The sequence below is a fragment of the Homo sapiens genome, chromosome 3 (assembly GCF_000001405.40).
Source record: "Homo sapiens chromosome 3, GRCh38.p14 Primary Assembly".
NCBI classification, from domain to species: Eukaryota; Metazoa; Chordata; class Mammalia; order Primates; family Hominidae; genus Homo; species Homo sapiens.
The window spans coordinates 196,017,841-196,036,002 of NC_000003.12; the positions used below are offsets into that span (position 1 = coordinate 196,017,841).

The window sequence follows — 18,162 nt, forward strand, 5'->3', positions numbered from 1 at the left end:
ACCCCATCAAAAAGTGGGCAAAGGACATGAACAGACACTTCTCAGAAGAAGACATTTATGTGGCTGAAAAATACATGAACAAAAGCTCATCATCACTGGTCACTAGAGAAATGCAAATCAAACCCTCAGTGAGATACCATCTCACACCAGTTAGAATGACAATCATTAAAAAGTCAGGAAACAACAGATGCTGGAGAGGATGTGGAGACATAGGAACGATTTTACACTGTTGGTGGGAGTGTAAATCAGTTCAACCATTGTGGAAGACAGTGTGGCGATTCCTCAAGGATCTAGAACCAGAAATACCATTTGACCCAGCCATCCCATTACTGGGTATATACCCAAAGGATTATAAATCATTCTACTATAAAGACACACGCACACGTATGTTTATTGCAGCACTAGTCACAATAGCAAAGAATTGCAACCAACCCAAATGCCCATCAGTGATAGACTAGATAAAGAAATGTGGCACATATAAACCACGGAATACTATGCAGCCATAAAAAAGGATGAGTTCATGTCCTTTGCAGGGACATGGATGAAAATGGAAACCATCATTCTCAGCAAACTAACACAGGAACAGAAAACCAAACACCACACGTTCTCACTCATAAGTGGGAATTGAACAATGAGAATGTATGGACACAGGGAGGAGAACATCACACACTGGGACCTGTCAGGGCGGGTGGGGGCCTAGGAGAGGGATAGCATTAGGAGAAACACCTAATGTAGATGATGCGTTGATGGGTGCAGCAAACTACCATGGCACGTGTATACCTGTGTAACAAACCTGCACGTTCTGCTCATGTATCAGAACTTAAAGTACAAAAAAAATATAAAAGTCACAGGATGTTTGTGATAGTATCTATTACACTGATGTTAACATCACATGGTTGACTATGTGGAGACTCCAAGTGAAATTTCTTGCAGTTGTCAGTGCCAGGAAAATCTGTATTTCTGGATAAAACTCAAAGAGTTTAGAAAAACATTCAAGTTTCATAGTCTAGAGGTCTAACACTGGAATCTTTTCCAAATTTAAGGTTTAATGATTTTCTTAAATCTAAAAATAGTAGGTTGCAGATGTATTTAAACAGTGTGCCTAGGTAGTATGTTTATATATTAGGATTAAAATGCTCTTCTAAAGTTTACTAATTCTAACACAGCCTTTATTGTTTCATGGAGACATATCTTTCCGATTCCCAGGTTAATTTAAACAATTAATTCAAAGCAACTATTGACTTAGTTCTACATTGGGATACCTATTTATGCATTTGAAGCCTTAGATATGTATTTCAAATTAGAAACGTGTACTGGTCATGGAAAGTTGTGACTGAGAGTCTCAGGTAAGTTTTGTTTCCATGTGAACACACTGCTTCCAATTAATGTTATGCCCAGAGCAGACAATTAATAAACACCCTTTGAAGTGAATGAGTGATTAACTGCAAATATTACAATACATCTTCTTAGTGGGCATGATAATTGGACATATTTAGTCCTTGCTGTGACCTAAGAAAGGAATTGTTTTCATTAAATGTTTAATGTTTCACCCTGTTCATACAGCTGGAGTTACTGATTCAGTTTGATGTGAATTCAGTCTTATAAAAAACCCATCATTATAACCTGCACTTATGCTTCCTACAGTATCGGAACTTCCAACTTGTAGGCAAAATAGATATGCTTCATATTCTTAAAAACCACAAGAAATCTCCCTTTATTCAGAATAAACATAGAATTAGATATTCTATTAAACTGAACAATAGGACTCACTGGGAGTGACCACATACACTATACCACGCATTGCCCGAGTGTCTGAAAAGGTCACTGGACCATTTCGCTCCATGCTGTGCCACGGGCCAACCACGAGGGCTGTCAGTGACTCACTGCGTGGGCCACCCAGGGCATGTGGTGCTGAGGCTGTCGAAGAGCAAGACGAGGCTGTATTTAAACTCAGGCCTCTGCTAAGTGTCAGAACTTGGGCAAGATGCCATACACTTTAGAGCCAGTTTCCTTTTCTATGACTGGGTTATAACACTCACCCTGTCAGGTTCTCGTGTGCGTTGACAAGGCCGGCATGTGACACACCAGGGGCAGAGCTGGACGGGAACCTTCTTCCTCAGACATCAGGGTCCTCATGAGCATCAACAAAATAAGGAGAGCTGTGTCAGGACTGCAGCAGGGACTCAGCAACAATCAGTCTCTTTCTCTTGTTTCATCCAAATCATACATTTAAAAAAATAGGTGGGGTTATCATTGATGTTTATATTGATTACTGGGATCAGACAAATACACCTTTCCTTGTCATGCTGTTTTCTCTTCCCAGATGGTTTGAAGAGCTTCATTTTGGACTTGATACTCCTGGAATGCACATGAGAAACAGTAGCCAATGATTTGCACATTTCACAGCAGTGTAGCTCTTCATTCACAAACTCAGATAGAAAAAAAAAACAAAAAAACTTCTTGTATTTTCTAATGAGTTCAGTCTTGACCCTGAGCCATCTCCCCTCCAGAATGGCAGGACACTCCACTCCACCATTGTTGTGGGGCCACAATTTCACTAATCAAGGGCTCCTTGGCTTCTGAAAAATGGGAGATGCACCTCTAATAACCAGTCTAGATTGTCACTGCTCACTTCCTTATTTTCCAATTCCACAGGGGCCCCCAAAGCCCAGAAGATCTCATTTCCAGGCGTCTTATAGACCATGGGAACCTGGTAACACTGGGAACCCCGGGGCCAGCACCCACCTCATGTTCACCCTGTTTCCATCACCTTCTAGGCATTGCTACAGAGCAGTGTTGGGACCCACTGGAGATCTGACTGCTCCCAGCCTGGAAAACTGCCTTCTCTCTCTCCACTGAGCTCATGATATTTCTGCTTTCCGCCCCACAGAAATCCTTGAATGAAGCACAAAAGGGACTGGTAGTTACCTGGTGTGAAGCAGAGCTGAGCCTATGGGAGGAAGCAATATTGCAATGGACTCTGTCATTGATGTCACTAGTGCACAAATCTGTTACCACTATGGTCAAATTTTTATATTCACTTTAAGATTATAACTCATTCTGCTCATTGTATTCAATGCAACATCTACCCCAAAAGATACTCAGGCTTTAATTTATGCTTTTCTGTTTACAAATGAGAATTCATCAGCAAATTGAGGTAGCAAGTAGATATTTAGATATTTTTTAAATTGAAGGCAAAACAGAAGACACATACACATACATCAGTGAAACAGAACAGAGAACCCAGAAACAGAATGAAATGCAGCCAACTGATTTCTGACAAAGGAGCAAAAGCAATTCAATGGAGAAAGGAGAGTCTTTTTAACAAATGGTTCTGGAACAAGTGGGCATCCACATGCAAAAAAAAAAAGAATATGTAACAGACCTTATACTTTTTACAAAAGTTAATGCAAAGTAGATATTAGACCAATATATGAAATGTAAAATTTTCAAACTTCTAGAAGATAACATAAGGAAAAAAAATCTAGATAACTTTGGATTTGGTGTTTTTTTTTTCAGATACAACACCAAAAGCATGATCCACAAAGAAAAAAATTGGGAAGTTTAATTTCATTAACATGAAAAACTTTTGTTTTCAAAAGATACTGTTAAGAGAATAAAAAGATAAATCACAGACTGCGAGAAAATATTTGCAAAATATATCTAAGGATTCATATCTGAAATACACAAAGAACTCTTAAAACTCAACAATGAGAAAACAAACAAAACTGGGCAAAAGCTGAACAAATCTGCAGATGGAAACTAAGTATATGAAAAGATGCTGTGTATAATATGTTATTAGGAATTGCCAATTAAGACGCAATAAGATACCACTACACACCTGTTAGAATGGCCACAATCCACAAGAATGAAAGCACCAAATGCTGGTGAGGATGTGGAGCAATGAGAACTCTCATTCATTGCTGTGGGAATGCAAAATGGCACAGCCACTTTGGAAGACAGTTTGGCAGTTTTTACAAAGCTCACATAGTCTTGTCATAAGATTTAACAATTGTGCTCCTCATTATTTACCCAATGGAGTTGAAGAGTTATATCCACACACAAACTTGCACACAAATGTTTATAGAAATGTGGGCAGCAAGCCACCCAGGTGCCGATGTAAGAGACCGAGGGCACGAGCTGTTCCAGTGTAATAAAATATGTAAAATAACAAGAGTTATACTAGATCTAGATCATAGACATGATTATCTACGAATATCATTCATCATTAGTTTGTAGCAATTACTCTTTATTCCAATATTATAATAACCCTCGCTCTATAATCATAACCCAGGAAAAGCCAGGCCATACAGAGATAGGAGCTGAGGGGACATAGTGAGGAGTGACCAGAAGACAAGGGTGCGAGCCTTCTGTTATGGCCGGACCGGGCCACCAGAGGGCTCCTTGGTCTAGCGGTAACGCCAGTGCCTGGGAAGACGCCCGTTGCCAAGCGGACTGTGGTCTAGTGGTAGCGTCAGTGTCAAGGAAAAACACCCGCTACCTAGCAGACCGGGAAAGGGAGTCTCCCTTTCCCCGGGGGAGTTTAGAGAAGACTCTACTCCTCCACCTTTTGTGGAGGGCCTGACATGAGTCAGGCCCGCCTGCAGTTATCCGGAGGCCTAACCGTCTCCCTGTGATGCTGTGCCTCAGTGGTCACGCTCCTGGTCCGCTCTCATGTTCCACTCTGCACACCTGGCTCTGCCTTCTAGATAGCAGTAGCAAATTAGTGAAAGTATTAAAGTCTTTGATCTTTCTGAAAAGAGCATAGAAAAAATAATGGCATAAGCTGTCCTCTCTGTCTCTCTGACTCGGCTGCCAAACAGGGAAGGGCCCCCTGTCTGGTGGACACGTGACTCCGTGACCTTATCAATCAGTTGGATGACTCACAGTCTTTACCCTGCCCCTTTTGCTTTGTATCCAATAAATAACAGCGCAGCCTGGCATTCGGGGCCACTACTGGTCTCTGCGTCTTGGTGGTAGTGGTCCCCCGGTCCCAGCTGTCTTTTCTTTTATCTCTTTGTCTTGTGTCTCTTTTTCTACAATCTCTCATCTCTGCACATGGGGAGAAAAAACCCACAAACCCTGTAGGGCTGGCACCTACATAGAAGCTTTATTCAGAATTACCAGAAACGAGGTGACCAACATGTCCTTCAGTAGGTGAATTGAGAAATAAATTCTGGTACCTACAGACAATGGAATATCATTCAGTGAGAAAAGAAATGAGCTATCAAGTCATGAAAAGGCATACAGGGACCCAAAATGCACATTACTAAGTGAAAGAAGCCAAAAAGGCTACATACTGTATGATTCCAATTATGTGACATTTTGGAAAAGGAAAAACTACATAGAGAGTAAAATATCTATGTAATTACGTGACATTTTGGAAAAGGGAAAATTACATAGATAGTAAAATAATCAGTGGTCGACAGGGGTTGGGGAGAGGAAAGGATGGATGGGCAGAGAGCCCCGGATGTTTAGGGCAGTGAGATCACTGTGTGCGATTTCACCACAACAGTGGACCCACGACAGTGTGCAGATGCCAACACCCACTGAACGCAGACCACAAAAAGGTATTAATTACATAAACTATGAACTTTCATAATGAAGTAAATCACGTTTTAAAAAAGTAGACAGTTTTTTTTCAGTTATTGTCTACTTTCTGAAATGGAGATGGCGGAGTGCTTCCATGGTTGTGAGGATAAAAATAGCTTAGAGAATGTAATAACTAAAATAGGTGTGTAAACATTGTTAAACTATTTTATCCTCATTAAATATATTTGTAACTTTTTACAACTGAGCGAGTAGTGCAAACACATTAACATAATTCTCCTGTAGCTCCACTCAGAAGTCAGGACTGCAGGGCTTCAGTGCAGGGCCACACAGCTCCACACGCACCTGCCAAACGCAACAGCCTCTTTCAGCGTCATTAAAATATTTCAACAGGAGGACTGAGTTTAGACTCAACCTGTGTTTTCTCCCCTGGAAAACGAAGGTTTCATGAAGCAAGGAAGGTCTTTACTGTCCTCATCCGAAACGCTGAGGCATCTGTGATGTCTGCTGTAAGTGCCACCAGGCTCTCCGCTGAAATCTCGCAACGGGAAAATAGAGACCGTAGATTCTGCTTTTAGAAAGGGGAGAATCAGAAGTAATGTGGAAATGCCATGTCCTCGTTCATAAACATCTTCTTTTACAAATTCCACAAGTTTAGTTACTTTGGGATTAATATGGGCTTATCTTAAAGTGCGTTTATTAACTTAGCGTGAGTTGTTCAAATGCATTCTGGATCCTGAGCCGACATCCAGCAATGCTGAGTGTGCGCCTGTGTGAGTCACCAGCCCTGATGAGCCTCAGGTTATTGTGTTCGTAAAATGAAGGGGCTTAGGCTTGCTGCGATTTTTTAAAAACCATTTTTAACAGTAAAAATTTTTTTCTTGCTACATAAAAATGTACAAGAAAAACTCAGACATTACCAATGATAAATTATAATTTTATTAATATAAATATTTTTGTGAGCTCAATTTATATGACTTAGTTATTATAAAAGAAATAAGCAATATGAGGTGGCCATTACCATCCTGTCCCGTTTTATTTTGTTCATATGCTATTGATAAATCTTGATGTATACAGAAAAGTAGTTTCAAAGAATAATAATTTTTAAAAAGGACTTGTAATTTCAAGAGACTTTTAAAAAAATCTGCAATTGCTTTTTAAAGGTTCTAAAACAGTTGTCTATGCCTTAAAGCTAAATAACTACAAAGAGCTCACTCTTCTCACATTCTGTATTATAAATATGTAAGTCAGAGAAACAACAGACAAAATCATAAAAACACATGCATGAACAAATGGGCCTTGGTTTACATTTAATTGGATCTTGCAATACACATGGGTTATAGTAGTATTTCTGTGTGTAATTTTACATGAGTGGATTGCTATCAAAATAAAAATTGTCTACAATCTCTTTTCAGTGGTAAATTTGCACAAATGGTAAACATACACATAGAGATAGTGGGAGAAATTTATTTCGTGGCTTGCAAGAAGACAGGTTAAGTTGGGACATTTAATTGTTTCATTAATGCTACATTTTAAATGCACTTGTATGGGCATGGTATTTTAATGTATTATTATGACTTTTAAATGCTCAATGTTACAGATGGAATATTAGAGCAAGTACTAACTTATATCTTCTTTGTGTGTGCTTTGGAGGCATCAGGAAATAAAGCAGCCCTTTTCCCTTTTCCCAGAAGCTGTGCTTCTGCAGATTAGATCTCTCTGTAACACACACACACCCATGCACGCATGAGCGCACACACACGCGCACACACACGAGCACACGCACGCGCAGGCACACACATGCACACACACGCACACGCACACACACGTGCACACATACACCCAATATAGCCTTTAGGGTTAAAAGGAGGAAAAGAGAATTTGCCTGGATAACTCTTACCCAGGTATTTTCTGGGGAGATCTAGAATAATCTAAGGGGGTAAGCTGGACTAGCCAATGGGAAATCAAAACGAAGATACTGGAGAGATGTTCCCAGAAAAGGAGCATTCCTAATGGGCTTGGCCCTAGTCACATGCAATTCCCCAGATGTGGTTGGTGTGGCCAAGGTTCCAGCATTTGTCAGCTGCTTTCTTGCCACTTCTTGTGCTGTGAGGAGTATCCCCTCCCCAATGCCAGAGGCAGTCGTCCTCTAACCCCCTTCAGAGTAAAGGGCCAGCAATTGGCAGTCACAGGAAAAGTAGTGAGACAGGAAGGTGCGGAGCATGAAGTCCCACCATACCGGCCTCCAGTGTCTGGCACAGAATATGACGAGGAACCTCCGTGAATTGGAATCTTCCACATCTTGATATATGGGAGTTTCTGCTAGATATAATTTGACTTAAAAAAGAAAGAAATATGACCTTCTTCACCTAAATATTGTAGAAGAGGTAATGATTGCAACCTGGATGTTTTACATTCTGAGATGCTATTAAACCAATATTCATCACAAATGTATTGATAATTTTTTAGAAGAACAGAAGAGATCCCATCATATTAAATGAAGTGTATCAATTATAAGATGCATGCTAACTCCAGAAAAAGCAAAGCATGAAAAAAATCTGTCTTAGAATGGAAAAATACAGTAGTTAAACTATTTTTAACTGGAATTTAAATGCAACATTTTAGGATATGAAGCTGTCAACTCATTTTGAAAACTGCTGGCTCAGATGACCTCAGCGATAGGAAACCTCTAAAAGATCATGAATCTAATCAGGTAATTTTCTGTGCCTTTGCCTGAGAGTCTAGCTGAAAGTGGTGCAGTTTTTACAGAAGAGGAATAACGTGTCCCGAACTGGGAACCCTTCACCGGCCACCACTCCAGGCGGCGCTTCACTGTGGAGTTTTGGTCGCCAGAGGGCTCCAGGGGACTGCTGGGGAAGGCCAGGACATGGAAGAGGGCCTAGAGCCAGGGTTACCCGGGAGGGGGTGGACCCATTTTGCCAAGCACCTGAGGACCATACCGTACAGGATCCTCTCAAAACCACCCGCACACTAGGTGGGAATAAAGGATAAGAGAAATTAATGTGTGCTTAGCATGTGAGAGCTGACATTCAGAGTCAGCCTGAGCAAAGAGATTCATACGGAAGGACGAAGCGCATGTTGTGAGACAAAGAACACCCAATTATAAGATAGAAAACCTTGGTTCTGGGAAATTCCTGAACCTGTTTGCCCATCCATGAAAGAGTAAGAGTGATACTACCTTCTCCACCTTATTCTTGTAACAGAACTGCCCGTTTCTTTCGTGCCCACAGCTAAGTGTTTAATAGGAACAATGTGACAAATATAAGGTCATTGCTCTTACACAAAAGGTTCAAGAAAACTGAGAAAGATCTAAAAATTCCCAAAGGAATGATTTTTCAAAGTACAACATCTTAATTTACATAGAGAGAAATAATACATTTTGTCTCAAATAAAGATTTGGCCACATCCTAAGTATAGCATTGAAGAGCAGTTAAGCTATTTCTTCAAAGAAAATATATCAAAATTAAACCTGTACTTTTTGAGTGTGAATTCTAACACACAAACCTGGTGCAATATATTTAAAACAAAGCAGAGATTAATTAATTAATTAATGATTCCCCATCACCATTTTCAGAAAACCCAGTAACTTAGTGCCTTAAGATGTTCAAATCATCCCAAAAACTTGAGTTACTAAATATTTTCAAAACCCTTTCTCAAGCTTTGCTATTCTAGCTTTAGTTGGAAGAAGAAGCTTCCAAGTTAAAGATGGTAGACGAAATACTGACCCAGTTGTGTCCTTTCCCTCCTGAGAAACCATGGTGGCTATCCACGATGGAGAGAGAGCAGCGGAGACAAAAAGTGATTTGATGGCCTCGCATCCGTGAGAAGGAGCATCATCTGTGGACCTTCCTGGGGGTGAGGGGCAGAGAAGTGAGGCAGGCATCAGAAAACAGGAGGGTCGATTAAAATCTGTACATTGACAGTCAACCCTCATTATCCTCCCTCACCGATGCCAGCACCCCACCCCTCGGGTAACCAGTGAGTAGAACACCAACAACCAACAAGCAAGCAGCTGCCTTCCAGAGAGGAGAGGAGAAGGTTTTCTCCAGAGGAAGGAAACCATCCAGACCAAAGGCATCACTTACTAACATGCGGAAACCCCATCGACTCCCCGAAGCAAAACCTCTAGACGAGCCTTTCACTAATGATAACACACTCATTCTCCTTCACGTGTTACTATTAAATGTGAACAGTGAAGAATCACCACCTAGACGAGCCTTTCACTAATGATAACACACTCATTCTCCTTCATGTGTTACTATTAAATGTGAACAGTGAAGAATCACCACCTAGACGAGCCTTTCACTAATGATAACACAGACTCATTCTCCTTCTTCACGTGTCACTATTAAATGTGAACAGTGAAGAATCACCATCTAGACGAGCCTTTCACTAATGATAACACAGACTCATTCTCCTTCTTCACGTGTCACTATTAAATGTGAACAGTGAAGAATCACCATCTAGACGAGCCTTTCACTAATGATAACACAGACTCATTCTCCTTCATGTGTTACTATTAAATGTGAACAGTGAAGAATCACCACCTAGACGAGCCTTTCACTAATGATAACACAGACTCATTCTCCTTCATGTGTTACTATTAAATGTGAACAATGAAGAATCACCATCTAGACAAGCCTTTCACTAATGATAACACAGACTCATTCTCCTTCTTCACGTGTCACTATTAAATGTGAACAGTGAAGAATCACCATCTAGACGAGCCTTTCACTAATGATAACACAGACTCATTCTCCTTCTTCACGTGTCACTATTAAATGTGAACAATGAAGAATCACCAGACATTGAAGGGAAACCCATCTCAATGGGAAAAAAGACCAAGGTAAACCAGCAGGCGGAATGATTGTTGAGAACCTAACATCATAGCAAAATAAGAAATAAGAGTTTTATATTATCATTCACTTAGTGGCACTGTCTGAGGTTTCACTATACAAATATATTGCTTTGATATGTGTGTGTATATATACATACATATATATATATATATATATATATATATTTTTTTTTTTTTCTGAGTCTCGCTTTGTTGCCCAGACTGGAGTACAGTGGTGTAATCTTGGTTCACTGCAACCAAGGTCTCCCGGGTTCAAGCGATTCTCCTGCCAATTTTCATCTTTTAAGTGGAGACAGGGTTTTGCCATGTTGGCCAGGCTGGTCTCAAACTTCTGACCTCAGGTGATCTGCCCGCCTTGACCTCCCAAAGTGCTGGGATTATAGGCATGATAGAGTTTTAACTATTAGAAGAAACCAGAGGAAGCTACCATTGGAATAGATGAAACATCAGCAATACATTAAAATATCAGCAATTTCACATGTTCGAGATTACTTTTAAAAAATAAAAAGAGAACAGAATTGATTTAGTTTCTAGGCCAGCAACCAAGGAAAAAGCAAGGAATGGAAGATTTTATAATCGCATAACAATAGCAAGATCTTACATTTCTATTGAGCTTTAAAGATTACAGGCCAGGCACGGTGGCTCACGCCTGTAATCCCAGCACTTTGGGAGGCTGAGGTGGGCGGATCACAAGGTCAGGAGTTCAAGACCAGCGACCAGCCTGGTCAATATGGTGAAACCCTGTCTCTACTAAAAATACAAAAATTAGCTGGGCGTGGTGGCGGGTGCCTGTAGTCCCAGCTAGTCGGGGGGCTGAGGTGGGAGAATCGCTTGAACCCAGGAGGCAGAGGTTGCAGTGAGCTGAGATTGTGCCATTGCACTCCAGCCTGGGTGACAGAGCAAGACTCTGTCTCCTAAATAAATACATAAATAAAAATACAAAAATTAGCAGGGCGGGGTGGCACACGCCTCTAATCCCAGCTACTCGGGAGGCCGAGACATGAGAATCTCTTGAACCTAGGAGGCAGAGGTTGCAGTGAGCCAAGATTGTACCACTGCACTCCATCCTGGGCAACAGATTGAGACGCTGTCTCAAAAAAAAAAAAAAGAAAGAAAGAAAGTAGAAAAACTTCAAATAAACCACCTAACAATGCATCTTAAAGAACTAGAAGAGCGAGCCAGGCGCGGTGGCTCATGCCTGTAATCCCAGCACTTTGGGAGGCTGAGACGGGTGGATTGCTTGAGGTCAGGAGTTCAAGACCAGCCTGGCCAACATATTGAAACCCTGTCTCTACCAAAAATACAAAAAATTAGCTGGGTGTGGTGCCAGGCACCTGTAATCCCAGCTACTCAGGAGGCTGAGGCAGGAGAATTGCTCGAACCCAGGAGGCAGAGGTTGCAGTGAGCGGAGATGGCACCACTGCACTCCAGCCTGGGTGACAGAGTGAGAATCAGTCTCAAAAAAAAAAAAAAAAGAAAAGAAAAGAAAGAACGAGAAAAGCAAGAGCAAGTCAAACCCAAAATCAGAAGAAAACAAATAATAAAGATCAGAGCAGAAATAAATGAAATTGAAATAAAAAAAAATCAAAAAAACAAAAAAGTTTGTTTTTTGAAAAGATAAACAAAATTGACAAACCTTTAGCCAGACTAAGAAAAAAAGAAAAAAGACTCAAATAGATAAAATCAGAAATGTAAAAGGAGGCATTACAACGGATACTGCAGAGATTCAAAGGCTCACTAGAGACTTCTATGAAAACTATATGTTGCTAATAAATTGGAAAACCTAGAAGTGGATAAATTCCTAGACATATTCAACCTACTGTGATTGAACCACGAAGAAATCCAAAACCTGAACAGACCAATAACTAATAATGAAATCAAAGCCATAATCAAAAGTCTCCCAGTAAAGAAAAGCCCAGGACCTGAAGGCTTCACTGCTGAATTTTACCAAATATTTAAATAACTAATACCAATCCTGTTCAAACTATTCCAAAAAATAGAGGAGGAGGGGATACTTCCAAACTCATCCTACAAGGTTAATATTACCTTGATACCAAACCAGACAAAGGCACATTTTAAAAAAGAACAAAAGAAAAAAAACTTCAGGCCAATATCTTTGATGAACATTTATGCAAAAATCCACAACAAAATACTAGCAAACCTAATTCAGCAACATATTAATAATATCATTCATCACGACCAAGTGGGATTGATACCAGGGATGCAAGGTAGGTTCCACATATGCAAATCAATCAATGTGATACATCATATCAACAGAATGAAGGACAGAAATCATATGATGATTTTAATTGATGCCGAAAAAGTATTTGATAAAGTTCAACATCCCTTCATGATAAAAACCCTCAAAAAACTGTGTATAGGAGGAACATACCACAACACAATAAAAGCCATACACAACAGACCCACAGCTAGTCTCATACTGAAGAGGAAAAACTGAAAGTCTTTCCTCTAAGCTCTGGAACACCACAAGGATGCCCACTTTGACCACTGCTATTCAACATAGTGCTGGAAGTCCTAGCCAGAGCAATCAAACAAGACAAAGAAATAAAGACATGCAAATTGGAAAGAAGGAAGTCAAACTATCTTATTTCCAGATTATATGATCTTTTATTCGTAAAAACCTAAAGATTCCACCAAAAAACTGTTAGAACTGATAAACAAATTCAGTAAAGTTGCAGGATCAACAACTGCAACTTTGTTGATCAATGCCAATCAACAAAATCAACATACAAAAATCAGTAGCATTTCTATATGCCAACAGAGCAAGCTGAAAAAGAAATAAAGAAATTAATCCCACTTAACAATAACTACAAATAAAATAAAATACCTAGAAATAAACTTAACCAAAGATGTGAAAGATTTCTGCAATGAAAACTGTAAAACATTGATACAAGAAATCAAAGAGGACACACACAAAATGGAAAGATATTCCATATTCATGGATTGGAAGAATCAATATTGTTAAAATTTCCATATTACCCAAAGCAATCTACAGATTCACTATCAAAATAACAATGACATCCTTCACAGAAATAGAAAAAATAATCCTAAAATTCATATGGAACCACAAATGACACAGAATAACCAAACTCATCCTGAGCAAAAAGAACAAAACTAAAGGAATCACATTACCTGACTTTAAATTATATTACAAAGCTATAGTAAAGAAAACATCATGGTACCCACATAAAACAGATACATAGATTAATGGAACAGAATAGAGAACCCAAAAATAAAGCCATACATCTACAGTGAACTCATTTTTAACAAAGGTGCCAAGAACATACATTGGGGAAACGGCAAGTCTTAATAACTGGTGCTGGGAAAACTGGATATCCATGTAAAGAAGAATGAAACTAGACCCCTGTCTCTTGCCATATATGAAAATCAAATCAAAATGTATTAAGTTAAATCTAAGACCTGAAACTGGAAGACTACTAAAAAACAAAACAAAACAAAACAAAAACACTGGGGAAGTTCTCCAGGACGTTGGTCTGGGCACAGATTTCTGTATTATTATTATTATTACTGAGACAGAGTCTTGCTCTCTCACCCAGGCTGAAGTGCAGTGGTGTGATCTCAGCTAACTGCAACCTCCACCTCCCAAGTTAAAGTGATTCTCCTGCCTCAGCCTCCTGAGTAGTTGGGATTACAGGCACCCGCCACCACACCTGGCTAATTTTTGTATTTTTAGTAGAGATGGGGTTTCACCATGTTGGCCAGGCTGGTCTCAGTCTACTGGCCTCAAGTGATCTGCCCACCTTGGCCTCCCAAAGTGCTGGGGTTACAGATAGGGCACAGATTTATTGAGTAATACCCCACAAACACAGGCAAACAAAGCAAAAATGACCAAATGGACTCACATTAAGTTAAAAAGTTTCTGTACAGCAGAAAACAATCAACAAAATGCACATAAAACCCACAGAATGGGAGAAAATATTTGCAAACGATCCATCTATCAAGGGATTAATAGTCAGAATACACAAGGAGCTTAAACAACTCAACATGAAAAATCTAATTATCTGATATTAATATGGGCAAAAGATCTGAATAGACTTTTCTCAGAAGAAGACCTTCAGATGGCAAACAGGTTATGTAAAGGTGCTCAACATCATTGATCATCAGAGGAATTAAAATTAAAACTACAGTGAGAGATTATCTCGCCCCAGTTAAAATGTCTTTTGTGCAAAAGACAAGCAATAACAAATGCTGGCAAAGACATAGAGAAAGGGGAACCCTCATACACTGTTGGTGGGAATGTAAGTTAGTACAACCTCTATGGAGAAGAGTATTGAGTTGCCTCAAAAAACTAAAAATAGAACTACCATATGATTCAGTAGTCATCTGCATATACCCAAAAGAAAGGAAATACCAAAAAGAAAAGAAATCAGTATATCGAAGAGATATCACTATGCCCATGTTTATTGTAGCACTATTCACAATAGCTGAGATTTAGAATCAATCTAAGTGTCCCTCAACAAATGAATAACGAAAATGTGGTGCATATACACAATGGAGCACTATTAGGGCATAAAAAAGTGGCCAGGCACAGTGGCTCATGCCTGTAATCCCAGCACTAGGGAGGCTGAGGCAGGTGGATCACCTGAGGTCAGGAGTTCAAGACCAGCCTGGCCAACATGGTGAAACCCCGTCTCTACTAAAAATACAAAAATTAGCCGGGCATGGTGGTGTGCTCCTGTAATCCCAAGCTATTCAGGAGGCTGAGGTAGGAGAATTGCTTGAACCCGGAAGGCAGAGGTTGCAGTGAGCCGGGATCATGCCACTGCACTCCAGCCTGGGCAACAAGAGTGAGACTCCATCTCAAAAATAAATAAATAAATAAATAAAATAAAATGAGATCCAGTCATTTGCAACAATATGGATGAAACTGAAGGACATTATATTGAGTGAAATAAGTGAGACACAAGAAGACAAACTTCACATATGCTGTCACTTATCTGTGGGAGCTAAAAATTAAAACAATTGAACCCATGGAGATAGAGAGCAGAATCACAGTTACCAAAGGCTGGGAAGAACAGTGGGGGAAGCGGGGAAGAGAATGGGTAAAAAATATAATTAGATGAATAAGATCTAGTATTTGATAGCACAGTAGGGTGACTATAGTCAACAATAATTTATTATACATTAAAAAAACTAAAAGATTATAACTGGAATGGTTATAACACAAAGAAATGAAAAATTATTGAGGTGATAAATTTTTTAAAAAGTGGTGGGGCTGGAGCCGTGGCTCATGCTTGTAGTCCCTGCACTTTGGGAGGCTGAGGCAGGAGGATCGCTTGAGTTCAAGAGCTGGAGACCAGCCTGGGCAACATGGCGAGACCTCGTCTCTCTCCACAAAAAAATTAAAAAATTAGCCAGGCATGATGGCACGTGCCTGTAGTTCCAACTACTCAGAAGGCTGAGGTGGGAGGACTGCTTGAGCCCAGGAGGTTGAAGTTACAGTGATTGTGCCACTGCACTCCAGCCTGGGGGACAGAGGGAGACACCAGTCTCAAACAAAACAAAACAAACAAACAAACAAAAAATGTAGTAAAAATGGCCATTGTTTCCTTGTTCTTGATTTTATAGATGAACAATTCAGTTTTTTATCATAAATTTTGGATGCTAGCTGTAAGTTTTATTAGGTGCCATTTTATTAGTTTGAGAAAGCTTCCTATTATCCCTAGTTTTATAATGAAACGGTGTAAATCTGCACAAGATGCTATTTCTGCATCTATGGCATGATCATGCATTTTCTCCTTTATTCTGTCAATATGGTGAATTACCCTGATTGATTTTTCATGACTTTATTGATATATAATTTACATACAATAAAAATCATCCTTTAAGGCGGGGCACGGTGCCTCATGCCTGTAATTTCAGCACTTTGGAAGGCCAAGATGGGCGGATCGCTTGAGCCCAGGAATTGGAGACCAGCCTGGCAACATGGCGAAACCCTGTCTCTACAAAAAAATACAAAAATTAGCCAGACACGGTGGCATGCACCTCTAATCCCAGCTACTTGGGATGCTGAGGCAGGAGGATCGCTTCAGCCTGGGTGATGAAGGCTGCCGTGAATGGTGATTGCACTACTGCACTCCAGCCTGGGCAACAGAGTGAGATCTTGTCTCGAAAAAAAATTGTTAAAGACATTAAATTAAAAATATTTAAACAAAGGCTGGGTGCAGTGGCTCACGCCTGTAATCCCAGCACTTTGGGAGGCCAAGGCGGGCAGATCACAAGGTCAGGAGTTCAAGACCAGCCTGGCCAACATAGTGAAAACCCGTCTCTACTAAAAATACAAAAATTAGCCGGGCGTGGTGGCACGTGCCTGTAGTCCCAGCTACTCGGGAGGCTGAGGCAGGAGAATCGCTTGAACCTGGAGGCGGAGCTTGCAGTGAGCCGAGATCGTGCCACTGCACACCAGCCTGGGAGACAGAGCGAGACTTCTTCTCAAAAAAAATAAATAAATAAAAAATTAAACAAAGTAATGGTTGGTTGGATGCAGAAAATAGTTTAAAACATTTTTTAAATTAAAAAAATCACTCTTAAAAAGTGAATTCACTCTTTAAAAGTGTACAATTCGGTGGTTTTTAAGACATGCACAGAGCTGTATAACCAGCACCCCTACCTAATTTTAGAACATTCTGTCACTGCAAAAAGAAACCCCATACCCATTAGCTGTCACTCCCCGCTTCCTCCTCATCCAGCCCATGGCAATCATTCATCTACTTTCTGTCTGCGTAGATGTGCCTGTTCCGGGCATTTCACAGAAATCAAATCATACCTATGTGGTCTTTGGTGAAGGGCCTCTTTCACTCAGCATAGTGGGTTCAAAGTACACCCGTGTTGTAGTACTTTATTCCTATTTTTTAGAATGTTTTATTGTGGTAAAACACACATAACATAAAATACACTATTTTAGCCACTTTTAAGTATACAACTCAGTGGCACTAAGTACATTCACAATGTTGTGTAACTCACCACTATTTCCAGAGCTTTCTCTTCATCCTAAACAGAAACTCTGTGCCCATCAAGCAGTAACTTCCCGTTTCCTCTGTACCCCAGCCCCTGGCAACCTCTATTTTACTTTCCATCCCTGTGAATCTGCCTAATCTGGGTACCTCATATAACTGGAATCATACAGTATTTGTCCTTTTATGTCTGACTTATTTCACTTAACATAACGTTTTCAAGGTTCTAAAATACAAAAGGTTCCAAAAATACAAAAATTAGCCGGGCGTGGTGGCGGGCGCCTGTAGTCCCAGCTACTTGGGAGGCTGAGGCAGGAGAACGGCGTGAACCCGGGAGGCGGAGCTTGCAGTGAGCCGAGATGGCACCACTGCACTGCAGTCTGGGCGACAGAGCGAGACGCCGTCTCAAGGAAAAAAAAAAAAAGGAAGGGCAAAAACCGCCATTACTTTTCCGCCAACCCAAATCGTTGGGTGACTCAGCGCATGCGCATTCCTCTGCGGGGCCACATCTCAAGCCACAGGCTTCCCAGAGCCTATAGGAGAGATCCCACATTAATTTAATTTAATTATTTATTTATTTACTTACTTTTTTAAAAAAATTTATTTGAGACAGAGTCTCTTTCTGTCGCCCAGGCTGGAGTGCATTGGCTCAATCAAGGCTCACTGCAGCCTCGACTTCCGCGGACTTAGGTGATTTTCCCACCTCAGTCTCCCGAGTAGCTGGGACTACAGGCGCAC

The 18,162-nt window shown here is 40.4% G+C and overlaps 1 long non-coding RNA gene across 9 annotated transcripts; it reads right to left on the minus strand.

The window, feature by feature from the left end:
- Window positions 1–853: 853 nt before the first annotated feature.
- Window positions 854–17,613, minus strand: LOC124909478 (uncharacterized). 9 transcript variants are annotated; one of them, XR_007096234.1, is made up of 5 exons: window positions 17,435–17,613; window positions 9,297–9,420; window positions 5,966–6,118; window positions 2,746–2,895; window positions 1,688–2,358 (listed from the first exon to the last, which is right to left on the minus strand). It is a non-coding gene; the product is annotated as an uncharacterized LOC124909478 (long non-coding RNA). The 9 variants fall into 9 exon arrangements; XR_007096230.1 differs by lacking the exon at window positions 17,435–17,613 and having other exon boundaries at window positions 9,297–10,410; XR_007096232.1 differs by lacking the exon at window positions 17,435–17,613 and having other exon boundaries at window positions 5,966–6,121; window positions 9,297–10,410.
- Between the last annotated feature and the right edge of the window lie 549 nt (window positions 17,614–18,162).